Below are 14,558 nucleotides of genomic sequence, written 5' to 3' on the forward strand. Positions count from 1 at the left end.
GAATCAAATAGACCCAATAAAAAATGATAAAGGGGATATCACCGCCAATCCCACAGAAATACAAACTACCATCAGAGAATACTATAAACACCTGTATGCAAATAAACTAGAAAATCTCAAAGAAATGGATAAATTCCTCGACACATACACCCTCCCAAGACTAAACCAGGAAGAAGTTGAATCTCTGAATAGACCAATAAAAGGCCCTGAAATTGAGGCAATAATTAATAGCTTACCAACCAAAAAAAGTCCAGGACCAGACAGATTCACAGCCGAATTCTACCAGAGGTATGAGGAGGAGCTGGTACCATTCCTTCTGAAACTATTCCAATCAACAGAAAAAGAGGGAATCCTCCCTAACTCATTTTATGAGGCCAGCATCATCCTGATACCAAAGCCTGGCAGAGACATAACAAACAAAGAGAATTTTAGACCAATATCTCTCATGAACATCGATGCAAAAATCCTCAATAAAATACTGGCAAACCGAATCCAGCAACACATCAAAAACCTTATCCACCATGATCTAGTGGGCTTCATCCCTGGGATGCAAGGCTGGTTCAACATACACAAATCAATAAATGTAATTCAGCATATAAACAGAACCAACGACAAAAACCACATGATTATCTCAATAGATGCAGAAAAGGCCTTTCACAAAATTCAACAGCCCTTCATGCTAAAAACTCTCAATAAATTACGTATTGATGGGACATATCTCAACATAATAAGAGCTATTTATGACCAACCGACAGCCAATATCATACTGAATGGGCAAAAACTGGAAGAATTCCATTTGAAAACTGGCACAAGTCAGGGATGCCCTCTCTCACCACTCCTATTCAACATAGTGTTGGAAGTTCTGGCCAGGGCAATCAGGCAGAAGGAAATAAAGGGTATTCAATTAGGAAAACAGGAAGTCAAACTGTCCCTGTTTGCAGATGGCATGATTGTATATCTAGAAAACCCCATTGTCTCAGCCCAAAATATCCTTAAGCTCATAAGCAACTACAGCAAAGTCTCAGGATACAAAATCAATGTGCAAAAATCACAAGCATTCTTATACACCAATAACAAACAAACAGAGAGCCAAATCATGAGTGAACTCCCATTCACAATTGCTTCAAAGAGAATAAAATACCTAGGAATCCAACTTACAAGGGATGTGAAGGATCTCTTCAAGGAGAACTACAAACCACTGCTCAATGAAATAAAAGAGGATACAAACAAATGGAAGAACATTCCATGCTCATGGATAGGAAGAATCAATATCATGAAAATGGCCATACTGCCCAAGGTAATTTATATATTCAATGCCATCCCCATCAAGCTACCAATGACTTTCTTCACAGAATTGGGAAAAACTACTTTAAAGTTCATATGGAACCAAAAAAGAGCCTGCATTGCCAAGTCAATCCTAAGCCAAAAGAACAAAGCTGGAGGCATCACACTACCTGACTTCAAACTATACTACAAGACTACAGTAACCAAAACAGCATGGTACTGGTACCAAAACAGAGATATCGACCAATGGAACAGAACAGAGCCCTCAGAAATAATGCCACACAAGTACAACCATCTGATCTTTGACAAACCTGACAAAAACAAGAAATGGGGAAACGATTCCCTATTTAATAAATGGTGCTGGGAAAACTGGCTAGCCATATATAGAAAGCTGAAACTGGATCCCTTCCTTACACCTTATACAAAAATTAATTCAAGAAGGATTAAAGACTTAAATGTTAGACCCAAAACCATAAAAACCCTAGAAGAAAACCTAGGCAATACCATTCAGGACATAGGCATGGGCAAGGACTTCATGTCTAAAACACCAAAAGCAATGGCAACAAAAGCCAAAATTGACAAATGGGATCTAATTAAACTAAAGAGCTTCCGCACAGCAAAAGAAACTACCATCAGAGTGAATAGGCAACCTACAGAATGGGAGAAAATTTTTGCAATCTAGTCATCTGACAAAGGGCTAATATCCAGAATCTGCAAAGAACTCCAACAAATTTACAAGAAAAAAAACAAACAACCCCATCAAAAAGTGGGCAAAGGATATGAACAGACACTTCTCAAAAGAAGACATTTATGCAGCCAAAAGACACATGAAAAAATGCTCATCATCACTGGCCATCAGAGAAATGCAAATCAAAACCACAATGAGATACCATCTCACACCAGTTAGAATGGCAATCATTAAAAAGTCAGGAAAAAACAGGTGCTAGAGAGGATGTGGAGAAATAGGAACACTTTTACACTATTGGTGGGACTGTAAACTACTTCAACCATTGTGGAGGTCAGTGTGGTGATTCCTCAGGGGTCTAGAACTAGAAATACCATTTGACCCAGCCATCCCATTACTGGGTATATACCCAAAGGATTATAAATCATGCTACTATAAAGACACATGCACACGTATGTTTACTGCAGCACTATTCACAATAGCAAAGACTTGGAACCAACCCAAATGTCCAACAATGATAGACTGGATTAAGAAAATGTGGCACATATACACCATGGAATAGTATGCAGCCATAAAAAATGATGAGTTCATGTCCTTTGTAGGGACATGGATGAAGCTGGAAACCATCATTCTCAGCAAACTATCGCAAGGACAAAAAACCAAACACCACGTGTTCTCACTCATAGGTGGGAATTGAACAATGAGAACACTTGGACACAGGAAGGGGAACATCACACACCTGGGCCTGTCGTGGGGTAGCCGGGAGCGGGGAGTGATAGCATTAGGAGGTATACCTAATGTAAATGACAAGTTAATGGGTGCAGCACACCAACATGGCACATGTATACATATGTAACAAACCTGCACATTGTGCACATGTACTCTAAAACTTAAAGCAAATAAAAAAACAATAATAATAATTAAAAAACCCAAGATGGATTAAATATTTAAATGTAAAACCCAAAACTATAAAAACCCTAGAAGAAAATTGAGGCAATAGCATTCAGGACATAGGCAAAGGCAAAGATTTCATGATGAAAATGCCAAAAGCAATTGCAGCAAAAGCAAAAACAGACAAATGGGTTCTAATTAAACTAAAGAGTTTCCTCACAGCAAAAGAAATTATCATCAGAGTGAACAGACAACCTACAGAATGGGAGAAAATTTTTGCAATCTATTCATCTGGCAAAGGTCTAATATCCAGAGTCTACAAGGAACTTAAACAAATTTACAAGAAAAAAAAAACATTAAAAAGTGGGCAAAAGACATGAACAGACACTTCTCAAAAGAAGACATACATGCGGCCAATAAACATGAAAAAAAGTTTATCAGCTGGGTGCGGTGGCTCATGCCTGCAATCCCAGCACTTTGGGAGACTGAGGCAGGTGGATCACCTGAGGTCAGGAGTTCGAGACCAGCCTAGCCAACATGGTGAAACCCCGTGTCTACTAAGAATACAAAAATTAACCGGGTATGGTGGCATGTGCCTGTAAATCCAGCTACCAGGAAGCTGATGCAGGAGAATCACTGAAACCCAGCAGGTAGAGGTTGCAGTGAGCTGAGATCATGCCACTGCACTCCAGCCTGGGTGACAGAGCAAGACTCTGTCTCAAAAAAAAAAAGTTCAACATCACTGATCATCGGAGAAATGCAAATCAAAATGACAATGAGCTACCATCTCATTGTCAGAATGCTTATTAAAAAGTCAAAAAACAACAGATGCTGACAAGGTTGCAGAGAAAAAGGAATGCTTTTACATTGTTGGTGGGTATGTAAATTAGTTCAAACATTGTGGAAGACAGCGTGGCGATTTCTCAAAGACCTAGATGCAGAAATACCATTTGACTCAGCAATCCCATTACTGGGTATATACCCAAAGGAATATATATCATTCCATTATAAAGATACATGCACATGCATGTTCACTGCAGCACTATTCACAATAGCAAAGACATGGAATCAACCTAAACGCCCATCAGTGATAGACTGGATAAAGAAAATGTGGTACATATATACCATGGAATACTATGCAGTCATAAAAAAGAACAAGTTCACGTCCTTTGTAGGGACATGGATGGAGTTGGAAGTCATTATCCTCAGCAAACTAATGCAGGAACAGAAAACCAAACACCACATGTTCTCACTTATAAGTGGGAGCTGAAGGATGAGAACACATGGACTCATGGGGGGAACACACTGGGGTCTGTCAGCAGGGGTGGGAGGAGGGAGAGCATCAGGAAGAATAGCTAATGGACGCTGGGCTTAATACCTAGGTGATGGGATGATCTGTGCAGCCAACCACCATGGCACGTGTTTACCTATGTAACAAACCTGCACATCCTGCACATGTACTCCTGAACTTAAAATAAAAGTTGATGAAAAATAAATACTGAGGTCTACTTAGTCTTTTCAAATAAACAGGTTACTCTTTTTTTTTCTTTTATTATACCTTAAGTTCTGGGATACATATGCAGAACGTGCAGGTTTGTTACATAGGTATACACATGCCATGGTGGTTTGCTGCATCCATCAACCCATCATCTACATTAGGTATTTCTCCTAATGCTATCCCTCCCCTAGCCCCCACCTCCCAACAGGCCCCAGTATGTGATGTTCCCCTCCCTGTGTCCATGTGTTCTCATTGTTCAACTTCCACTTATGAGTGAGAATATGTGGCGCTTGGTTTTCTCTTCTTGTGTTAGTTTGCTGAAAATGATGGTTTCCAGCTTCATCCATGTCCCTGCAAAGGACATGAACTCATCCTTTTTTATGGCTGCATAGTATTCAATGGTGTATATGTGCCACATTTTCTTTATCCAGTCTATCATTGATGGGCATCTGGGTTGGTTCCAAGTCTTTGCTATTGTGAATAGTGCTCCCATAAACATACGTGTGCATGTGTATTTATAGTAGAATGATTTATAATCCTTTGGATATATACCCAGTAACAAGATGGCTGGGTCAAATGGTATTTCTGGTTCTAGATCCTTGAGGAATTGCCACATTGCCTTCCACAATGGTTGAACTAATTTACACTCCCACCAACAGTGTAAAAGCATTCCTATTTCTCCATGTCCTCTCCAGCATCTGTTGTTTCCTGACTTTTTAATGATCACCATTCTAACTGGCGTGAGATGGTATCTCATTGTGGTTTTGATTTGCATTTCTCTAATGACCAGTGATGATGAGCTTTTTTTCATATGTTTGTTGGCCACATAAATGTCTTCTTTTGAGAAGTGTCTGTTCCTATCCTTCGTCCGCTTTTTGATGGAGTTGTTTGTTTTTTCTTGTAAATTTTAAACAGCTATTCTTATCTAAAAAAATAAAAATAAACACTTTTTGAAAAACAAAAAAGAATGTAATGAGACACTTAACATGATGTTATCCTAGAAAAAAAAACCTTTAATATAATTTAATGAGATATTTTATTTGTGTTGGTGGGTTATACATGATCAAAGTGACAGATACAAGAAGGCTGAACATCAAATCCAGAAAGATCAGTTATTTTAAAATATAACTCTTTGACTTTGAAATGTACTGGTTTTTGATAAGGAGAATCCCATTATTAAAAAAACAAGAGTGTATACAAATAATTTAGTTAAATAGAATTCTGCTTTATAAGATAGTTATTGCATAAGTTGATATTATATAAATTATTAATATTTTAATTTAATATCACTTGAGTATTGCTAAGACCATAAAATCATTTTTATACCTGAGACGTTGATGTTTTATACCAAAGTACTTTTAAGAAATCAGTGACTATTTTGAAAACATTGACATCAATCTTAAGGAAGACAAAATTAGCAATTATATTTACATGTAACAGAACTGTCTGGTATGTAAAAGGTAATGAGTTCCATTTCTGTGACTCATCTACTTGTGGATCATGAAAAGTTTGAATCCAAGAACATCAAAAGCCCTCTAAAACTAGTATAATCACACTTTTTAAAAGAGATACATTTCTTTCCAATCAAACAAGATTACTCAGGTCATTTTCATCCTTCTAATTTTATAGGTGAACTCAATAAATGTTTATAGATGGTTATTATCTATTTAGAACATGCCATAAAATGTGCACGTGCGCGCACACACACACACACACACACTGTGACTAGCATTACCCTTTAATGTGAATTTACTTAGAATACTTTCTATTAACTTCTTTAGCAATGTACTTGACTAAAGCAAAATATCTATTAGTTTCAGTTAGAATATAAAAAGTAGTTTCCCCATGATACTCTCTCTGTTTATAAGCAATATGTCAGCAACCTTTGTGATTAGCAAGTTTTAAGTGACCAACTGTAATGTTCCATTGTTATAGAGCAAATAAGGGTTATAAACTAGCATTAATGTATTTGTTTTCACCAGCCATCTCCGAAATGAAGGTCATTTCCCTATTCCTACTCCTTATAATTGGATAGGAACAAAACCTTAAATGACTTGTGAGAACTCATTTAAAACTGTCCCCAAAAAACTTGGTGATATGTATGAAAAAGTATAAAAATATTCATATCTTGGCCATTAACTTTTACATTTGTAACTAATTCTAGTGAAATAATACAAATTGATGACAAAAATGTATATACAAAGATGTTCAGCAGAGCAATATTTATAATAGGAAAAAAATAGAAACACCCTAAATGTCCAAAAATGTGAGGCTACTTTAAAAAAACTGTAGTGCAGCCATATCATATATAAGTAAATAGCAGCTTTATTAAACCATGCTTACAAATAAATAGGGAAATTATTAAAATATCATTTAAAATGGAAAAGTGGGATTAAACCCTGCATATATAGTACTAGCTCCACTTGTTAATATATATATATTCTTCATATATATATATATAATATATATACGTGTAAGGATATATATAAAGAAGATATATTCTTTAATATTACAAAGTACAAAGATGATAAAAATCTCCCACAACTTTATTGTACTGGAAGTAAACGCACCAAAACATTAATGTTTATCTCTTGGTAAAATTATGAGTGTTTTTATTCTTTTTTTTAACTTTTTTTGACATTCCAATTTTTTTGTGAACTTCATTAGAAAAACAAATGAGGGTTTTTCTTTCTTTTTTTTTTTTTTTAAACAGGGTCTCACTATGTTGCCCAGGCTGGTCTTTAACTCCTGGACTTAAGCGATCCTCCTGCCTTGGCCTCCCAAAGTGCTGGGATTATACACATGAGCCACTGCACCCAGCCTTTTTTCTTTTTAACATGAAACTGTTTAGTGAGTGGCTAAGACGGACTTTAATGAAGTCTCCACAGTCATCTAGTATAAATTTCACACCAGATATTAGTGCCGTTAAGACTGCCAAAGTTAACTATTAAGGTATCATCAGGGATGCACATGTTTTGAATTGTCTTTCGAGTAGCAGATATCAACTTGTACAACATGTACAAATTGATAAAAATATGTAAACTTGTAAAAATATATACAAAGTCTATTCTCAGAGCTACTCCCCTCCCCACATCCATCTCACAAAAAAGATAAGCAGAACATATTTAAATTATCTGAGGAAAGGTCGGCATAGTTTTTCACCCAAGTAACCCTTGGGTTCTTTGAGTCCCTAGGAAAAGGGACTTGAATCTTGTATTAGGAGGCAAGATGTAAGGCAGGCCTAAAGGGGAGTTCCCTCACAAATTGTGGGTTAATGACAAAAATTTAAATCTATACCACTGCATAAGTTTCTTCAAGCCCTGCTCTAAGAAAATCCAATACATGAAATCTCGACTTACATAATAAAAAAAGTCAGAGAATCATTATGCATATCATCAAAGGATTATTCACCTTATGAAAGACTTCATCACAGAATTCCTTTAAATAGCTGCTTTTCTCATACATTTTAGTATTTTAAAGGTAGTTTCCCATTTGGCAAATGAGATGCCATGTGCCTGAGGCAAGTTAGTGAAATTCTCTAGGCCTCAGTTTCCTCATCTATGTAATAAAGATGGTTTTAACCATGTTACCTGCCTCATTCAGTTTTCACGATTATCAAAGAAGATAATTTATATAAAGGTACTCTGAAAATTATATATATATATATATATATATATATATATTATTACTGCTATTCTTGCTAAAAGAGAATGTGGGGGAAACTTTCAGAATACATACTTTTTCACATCTTAACAACACACATACCTACTTTTCACATCTTAACAACTCTTTAAAGGACAATTTTAGATGACATATTTATATATAAAAATCAAATCTTTTATTCTTCATTATTCATTTTTCCCACATATTTTTCATTCTTCTGCAGTTACTATATATCATAATTTCCATGGTATTAATACCTGGATTATGAGAGGCTCCAGTAGCTTCTCCACGGTGAATGTTTGGACCTGCAGATCCTGAGGATCGATATTCAATGTGATTGGTGTTTCAGCTGACATGCTGCCTGTGCACAAACACAAAAGGATGCTTATTAATAAAGAAAACTGTTTTCTAAAGAAGAACACTTATGAAATCATGGAATAGGTAAAACTTGTATTCAGCACCTCTTCCTGATATCAACCATAGCCCTCAGAGGACCAGGCTACAAAATCTACCTTCAGAGAAAGAAGATATTCCCCAACTGTTCCCTGAGGTCATGCTGCCTGGGCTTAGGTCCTGTAACAAATTAATCTACACAAGTATGTTCATGATTAAATTAACAACTCATCCGGGGTGGGTTTGTATTTGATCAGTAGTCTTAAGTGATCAGAAAGGTAAGACACATCTTACAGCATTCAAGTCCTTTGGCTTCTGTGAAATCACAGCACTGAGGCAGCCTATGCCCATATTTTGCTTCTTCTTGTTAATGATGACTTAGACAAGGAACAAGTAAACCTTTGAAAGACATGGGAACAAGTAAAGATATGTCCTTACTTGATTTAGAGATTGTTTATTTGAGGGTTTTGATTGGAGAAGGTTAAAGGCAATTTACCTTCTTGGACAGGAAAAGAAACTAATACAAATTGCACAGTTGTTGTAAAAAGAGAGAAGCCCCTGAGAAGGCATTGATATTTGGTCAAGACAAAATAAGAAGAAAAAAAAGAATTGCAAGCCATTCTCTAAGGCATTAACGTTATCCTTAAAAATCAATTCAGTGAGATTTTTGCCTAACAATATACATTTATACCAAATGACCATATGTGGCATGTCATAGTCGGATTAACGTTCAAAAACTCTAGCCATATTTTCAAATAGCTATAATATATTATTTATTAATCTACTAAAAACTACAGTAAGTGTTAAGAATTTTAGATGAAACCCACTGGCATCGTTGATTGCAAAGAGAGAGCACACTTCCTGAAATGTAGCACATTTCTAGATAGTTCTCTTTCTCTTATTGAAAATAACCCAAATGGCCTGCCCAGGGCCCCATTTGCCCCTTCAAACCTGCCAAGTGTGTCCTTGTTCCTAGTCTGTGCTTAACTCTATCACAAGCCACTTACAGGGTGGCTACAATTCCTTTACTTTTTGAAAGATTTTGCCTTGAAAAAATAATTATTCAAATTCTATTAAGTGAAAAGATATTACTTGAGTTTCTTCTCAAATCAAAGTTTCAAATTACTGTTATTGGCATATGATACATCAACATATAAAGTCAAAGCCCTACAATTTAGCCCTGTTTTACCTTGTTTCTCTCTCCTTTGCGTTGATTTCATTCTCCTTCTAAAAGTAGAAACATGGTCTCTTTTCTCAGCGATTCAGCTGCAATGTAAGAGACACGCTTCAAGAAAGGCTCCAAACACTATTGCCAAATGGTTTCTCTCAAATGCATTTCTAGAACTGAAATGTTTTAGTTTGGTTTGGTTTTGATTTTGCTTTTTCAATCATTTCACCTACCACTTTGATTCCTTCTAACACAGGGAAATCTAAATTGACAGATAGCCTATTCCTGTGGTGACCTTTCTGCATAGCCCAGAGCCAATCTGTGCAATAGGATATGTCCTTCAGTGTATAGCCTTAGGGTTCTATCAAATAAGTGCTCACAAAAGAATTTATTTGTTACTCCTCTACGACAGGTACTATCCTACATAAAAATCAAGTCAAGATTTCTGCCATTGCTTTGTTCTTTCATCTGAAGGACAAAAGTAGAGGAGACTGTTGTGAACTAAAATAAAATTTGGTGAACCTTCGCAGCCTTTAAAAACATGTCATTTTCACCGTGAAATTCACGACTGGTTTCCAAAGCTACATGGCCACCAGAAATTGAAAGTAAGGAAGATAAAAAATTAAGGAGAGCAAAAATTATCCATATCATATGTAAATCCTTCTAGAAGAATTTTTCAACCTAGAAGGAGCTTTCTAAAAGGAGTGCTTTTTAGCCAAGAGATAAAAGACAACCTAATTTAGCCAAAGTATCTTTTAAGTCTGTGTTCATGTCTTTAACACAAATTAAGTAAAAGTTTTTCAAAAGTTCATTTTTCCATGGTAAAAATTACTTAAAAAAAATAAATCCTTAAAGAACTTGGCTTCATATAATTATTAATCTTTAAATAAATGCTATTTCTTATTTTTAAAAAGTCTTCCTGCTCTTTTGTATGTCCTGGTCAGTATTCCTGACTGATTGGAAATTAGGGCTATCATAGGCAGAAAACTGCATAATTTTGCAAATGAAATTGAAGCAAAGTCAAAATCTGACAAATTTGTAGATATAGCAATACCACAACGCAAATCCAAAACAAAAATCCTACTAGGTTGTAAGTATTACATTCTGAGGCATTTGCATTTTATTTTGTTTTATTTTTGAGACTGAGTTTTGCTCTTGTTGCCCAGGCTGGAGTACAATGGCCTGATCTCGGCTCACCACAACCTCCGCCTCCCAAGTTCAAGTGATTCTCCTGCCTCAGCCTCCCAAGTAGCTGGGATTACAGGCATGCACCTCCACGCCTGGCTAATTTTGTATGTTTAGTAGAGACAGGGTTTCTCCATGTTGGTCACGCTGGTCTTGAACTCCTGACCTCAGGTGATCCGCCCGCCTCACCCTCCCAAAGTGCTAGGATTACAGGCGTGAGCCACCACCCTGGCCGGCATTTGCATTTTGTAATCTATAAAATCTTAGGAGTTAGGCAGTACCTCCCAAACGATTCAAGAATACCTTCTACACAACCTTCATTTCACCAACACACTGGGCTTGGATGAATAGAAATGATGAGAAGCTTACTATACCATTAGATGCTCGTTGAGTTGAAACCTGCCACTTTTAAACTTTTATCCAAAAGAGATGGCTTAATAAAGGGGAAAAAGTACGCTTTATAAATAAAGTAAGAAAAGTACAGATTTGGAGAGAGACTATAACAAAATTCCAGTTTTCAGAATTAAAGGAAGGAGAACAAATCTCTTGACAGTGGTGATAGATGTCTCCAGAGAAAGACACCAAGGCAGGGCAAACCCAACCATATGGATCCTTCCCTTCTCCCCAAACTATCTTTGTCTGCAATGACTCAATTTTCTTCATTCCACTTTATTCCCTGCTGGAAACTGAACTTTTATCATTTTATATCAATTTTAAGTTCATTTGGTTTAACACACATTTCATTTCTAAATGCAGTTAATTCTGAGAGGTCATGGGGTGCACACATTCAGTCACACATTAGTATGAACTAGCTCATTGCTTGCCATTTGACACCCTGTGCACGTCTCTATTACAGCACGAACCACGTTGTGTTTTCATCGTGCCCTGGCAGCAAAGGAGAGGGATGATGGAAGATCAGAGAGATGCACAGAGAGGCCAGTGGAAAACTATTCATTTCCAAAATTTGCCTAAGGGTTGCCATTCCCTCACAAATATTAAACAGAAAACATTTGGCACCTACTTCTCCTCCCTACAGTAACACATAACCACCACCCCCTCCCCCACTGCCTCCCCACTCTTCACCACCCACTCTAGAGCTCAGGCTCCTCTTAGTAAAACTACAATTCTTTTACATAAGTTGTCATGTTCTTGTGGGATGGCTTGGAAACCTAACCATCTGTAATGTGGTTCCTATAGAAAATTCCCTAATATCAAATATTTAATTTAAAAAAAAAAAGATTAACTTTTGTAACACAATTAGTTTGTAAGGTGATGGCTGATTCTCCTTTAAGCTTATTAAATTCCATGACACAGTCATCATACTTACCTAATTAGTCTAACTTTATACTCACTTTTCAACTAAAATGTTTAAGTCTTTTTTATTTCAAAGATTATTGCAAACTCAAGTCTCTCATCACATCTTTAAACAAATGATTTTTATTTACTCCTAAATGCAGAATTTTATTTTGTCTTCCTAACACCTTATCCTGTAGAATATGGACTTTTATTCCTGCTAGTCAAAAATTGGTTTGGGAGAACCCAACACATTAACACCCCCTCCCATTTCCCTGTTTATCCATTAATTTGTCCAGTATGAATTCTAGAATTCCCTATTAAGTCATTAAACAGGTGAAGGCCAGACATAAAACCTAATTTTGATACTGTTACAAATCTCTTTCCAGATATGTAATGATCAATTAATAAACACTTTAGACATGATTTTCAATATTATTAAACACTGTTGTGTGAAATAATCTACCTTTTTCATTTCGTCAAAAATATAGATATATCATGAAGAGGCTTTTCCCAATGTTTTAATGAAATAGAAACACCCTTTCTACACCTTCCTGTTTAAGAGCTCAAAAAATATATATTTATAGTTTGGCATGACTTGTTCGTGAAGAATTCATGCTGACTGCTAGTAATTACTGCCCTTTATTTACAAATTAGGTTTTTAGTTTTCCTACAGATTGGCACCTAGATGTCCAGTCTAATTAAAGAGATCATCTTTTTACCTATGTTGAAAATAAGAATATTTGCTCTTCTCTATGTATTAGTTCATGGTGCTATAACAAATATATCATAGACTGGGTGGCTTAAACGACAAACATTTACTTCTCACAGTTCTGGAGGCTGGGAAGTCCTAGTTCAAGGTACTGGCCCATCTGGTGTCTGGTGAGGGCCAGCTTTCTGGTCTGCAGATGGCTGCCTTCTCTCTGTATCTTCGCATGGCAGATAGCAGAACACATCATGTCTCTTCTTATAAGGACACTAATCCTATTGATGAGGACTATACACTCATGGCCTAATTAGCTCCCAAAGGCTCCACCATTCTAATATCATCACCCTGGGAGTTAGGATTTCAACACATGGATTTGCAGTGGCAGGTGGGGAAGATACAAACATTCACTCCAGAGCACTCTGCTTTCTGGCAGGTCTACCATTTCTCAGGGATTCCCAAGAAAGTTTCTGTTATCACATCTAAAGATCATTTTAGGGTTCAGGGATATACTCCTTTTGGATGTATGTACTTCAACTAATTTAAAGAGACTAGGCTATCTTCTTTACTTTCATCATCTAGAGTTTCAATTATTGTTTAATTAATTAAACATTTTATTAGGTAATACAAGGTTTAATAATGTATATAGTGAAACCAAGTCTCTCTCTCTCTCATCCCTGTCTTCCTACCACCTAATTTCCCTCCCAGAGGCAACTACTTTGGGCACTTACTCTTATAGTTCCAGAGATATCATACATAATACCAGAACATATGGATTTATATATTTAATACGAATTATAACATTTTTGTTTTTCTACTCAATTCAATTCCCTTAATCTTTGTTCCACCCTTGCCAATTTGACATCATAGTTTAGATGTATCATAAGTCATCTATTAATCCCTTATCATGTGACTAATGTAGAGGATCTATTCCTTCCTGTTTTTGTTTTTCTTACCTTCAGCATGTCCTGCCAGACCTAGCAAATGAGAAGTGCTTTAGCCTTCCCAACTTTACTTTTCCTAGTTTCTGCCATTCTCTTTTATTTGCCTTCAGTCAGGTGTCCCTGTATTAAGCTATTCTTGTATTGCTATAAGAAATACCTGAGATTGGGTAATTTATAAAGAAAAGATATTTAATTGGCTCATGGTTCTGCAGGCTATACAGAAAGCATGGTGCTGGCATCTGCTCAGCTTCTAGGGAGGCCTCAGGGAGCTTTTACTCATGGCAGAAGGCAAGGTGGGGAGCAAGCATCTCACATGGTGAGAACAGGAGCAAGAGAGAAAGAGAGAGAGGTGCCACACACTTTTAAACAGCCAGATCTCTCAAGAACTCACTCACTATCATGAGGACAACACCAAGAGGCTGGTGCTAAGCCATCATGAGAAATCCGCCCCCAAAGTCCAATCACTCCACACCAGACCCCACCTCCAACACTGGGAATCACAATTCTACATGAAACTTGGGTGGGGACAAATATCCAAACTACATATGTCCCTCTTCTCATCTTTAATTCATATTCTTTCAAATTTGTACCCCTACACAGATACATTGGAGTTTGGGGTTGTTTATGTTGTTGTTCAACAACTATTTATGGAGGACTTAAACACATCAGCCACAATCTTAGGTTCCAGTGAAAGAAAATGTAGTAAAGCCCAGGCCCTACCAACTATGCATCTTCTTTCTTCATGTTTAATTTATCACATTCCTTTTATGTCATATATAGTCCCTTGGAATCATATTTCGTGTTAATCTGAAATTGTTGAAATTTACTTCTCTTAAAGTCTAGGAGGC

General features: G+C 36.6%; 1 protein-coding gene across 7 annotated transcripts in view; it reads right to left on the reverse strand.

Moving 5' to 3' along the window:
- CTNNA3 (catenin alpha 3) overlaps window positions 1–14,558 on the reverse strand; it is a 1,851,072-nt gene that overhangs the window by 1,726,614 nt on the left and 109,900 nt on the right. For 4 of the 7 annotated variants that reach the window (XM_047425124.1, XM_017016152.2, XM_017016158.3 and 1 more), the window contains exons 2-3: window positions 9,604–9,680; window positions 8,279–8,382 (exon numbers count right to left, since the gene is read on the reverse strand). In XM_047425124.1, the coding sequence (XP_047281080.1) occupies window positions 8,279–8,382; window positions 9,604–9,634 (135 nt within the window). In that variant the 5' untranslated portion in view covers window positions 9,635–9,680. The remainder of the gene's footprint in view (window positions 1–8,278; window positions 8,383–9,603; window positions 9,681–14,558) is intronic. The other 3 variants (NM_013266.4, NM_001127384.3, XM_017016151.2) reach the window with 1 other exon arrangement.

Source organism: Homo sapiens, chromosome 10, assembly GCF_000001405.40.
Source record: "Homo sapiens chromosome 10, GRCh38.p14 Primary Assembly".
Taxonomy (NCBI): domain Eukaryota; kingdom Metazoa; phylum Chordata; class Mammalia; order Primates; family Hominidae; genus Homo; species Homo sapiens.